At 52.1% G+C, this 814-nt stretch overlaps 3 annotated features.

Moving 5' to 3' along the window:
* Positions 327 to 446: an enhancer, noted in NCBI's record as "active region_22831". NCBI's record gives its function as "activates an Ori minimal core promoter by ATAC-STARR-seq in GM12878 lymphoblastoid cells {active_cell/tissue: GM12878}" and the evidence as "EXISTENCE:reporter gene assay evidence [ECO:0000049][PMID:35858748]".
* Positions 487 to 536: an enhancer, noted in NCBI's record as "active region_22832". NCBI's record gives its function as "activates an Ori minimal core promoter by ATAC-STARR-seq in GM12878 lymphoblastoid cells {active_cell/tissue: GM12878}" and the evidence as "EXISTENCE:reporter gene assay evidence [ECO:0000049][PMID:35858748]".
* Positions 547 to 606: an enhancer, noted in NCBI's record as "active region_22833". NCBI's record gives its function as "activates an Ori minimal core promoter by ATAC-STARR-seq in GM12878 lymphoblastoid cells {active_cell/tissue: GM12878}" and the evidence as "EXISTENCE:reporter gene assay evidence [ECO:0000049][PMID:35858748]".

Consider the following 814-nt stretch of genomic DNA (forward strand, 5'->3'; position numbering starts at 1 on the left):
AATGAAGTCCCTGTGCTGAACTGCCTGGGGTTGGGGAAGGGGTGTCAAAAGCACACCTATAGCCACCATGACTGGGACCCTGTTGGGTCCAACTTATAACCAGCCCAGGACTGGGTCTTGCTAAAGGTCTGTGGTCACTATTGCCTGGCTAAAGCTGATGTTTATCAAGGGCCAAGGGCACTTTAGTCAGGAGGTGATGAGTCTAGCCAGGCTTGTGTCTTTCCCTTCAGGTTAGCAAGTTCTCCTCTGGCCCAGGGTCGGTGTATAAATGCTGTTCAGGAGCTAGGGCCTAGAGTCAGGAGCTTTAGGGCTCTTCTTGATGTTTATTTTACTGTGGCTAAGCTAGTACCCAACTTCTAAGACTTAAGTCCTCTGTATTCTTCCCTCTCTTTTCCCCAAGTAGGAATCTCTCCCCAAGCTGCACTGCCAAGAGTTCTGGGAGGGGTGACATGAGTAATCTCTTAGCTGCCACAGCTGGTGTTACACTTGGTCACATGCACCCCAAGTCCCATTGCCTCTGAGATTAGTGCAGCACCAGGCCTTGCCCAAGGACTGTAGTCCTTTGGGCAGATGGCCACTCAGTTTTATTCTCTTACCTGCCACAGCTGGTATAACACTGGGTCACATGCACCCCAAGTCTTATTGCCTCTGAGACTAGTGCAGCACCAGGCCTTGCCCAAGGACAGTAGTCCTTTTCGCCAGATGGCCACTCAGTTTTATTCCAGGCCCTAGGTCACTTTAGTCAGCCAGTGGTGGAACCAGCTGTGATCTGGGTTCCTCCTGCTGGGGCTGAGAGTTTCCCTCCGGCCCAGGG

The sequence above is a fragment of the Homo sapiens genome, chromosome 5 (genome assembly GCF_000001405.40).
Source record: "Homo sapiens chromosome 5, GRCh38.p14 Primary Assembly".
Taxonomy (NCBI): Eukaryota; Metazoa; Chordata; class Mammalia; order Primates; family Hominidae; genus Homo; species Homo sapiens.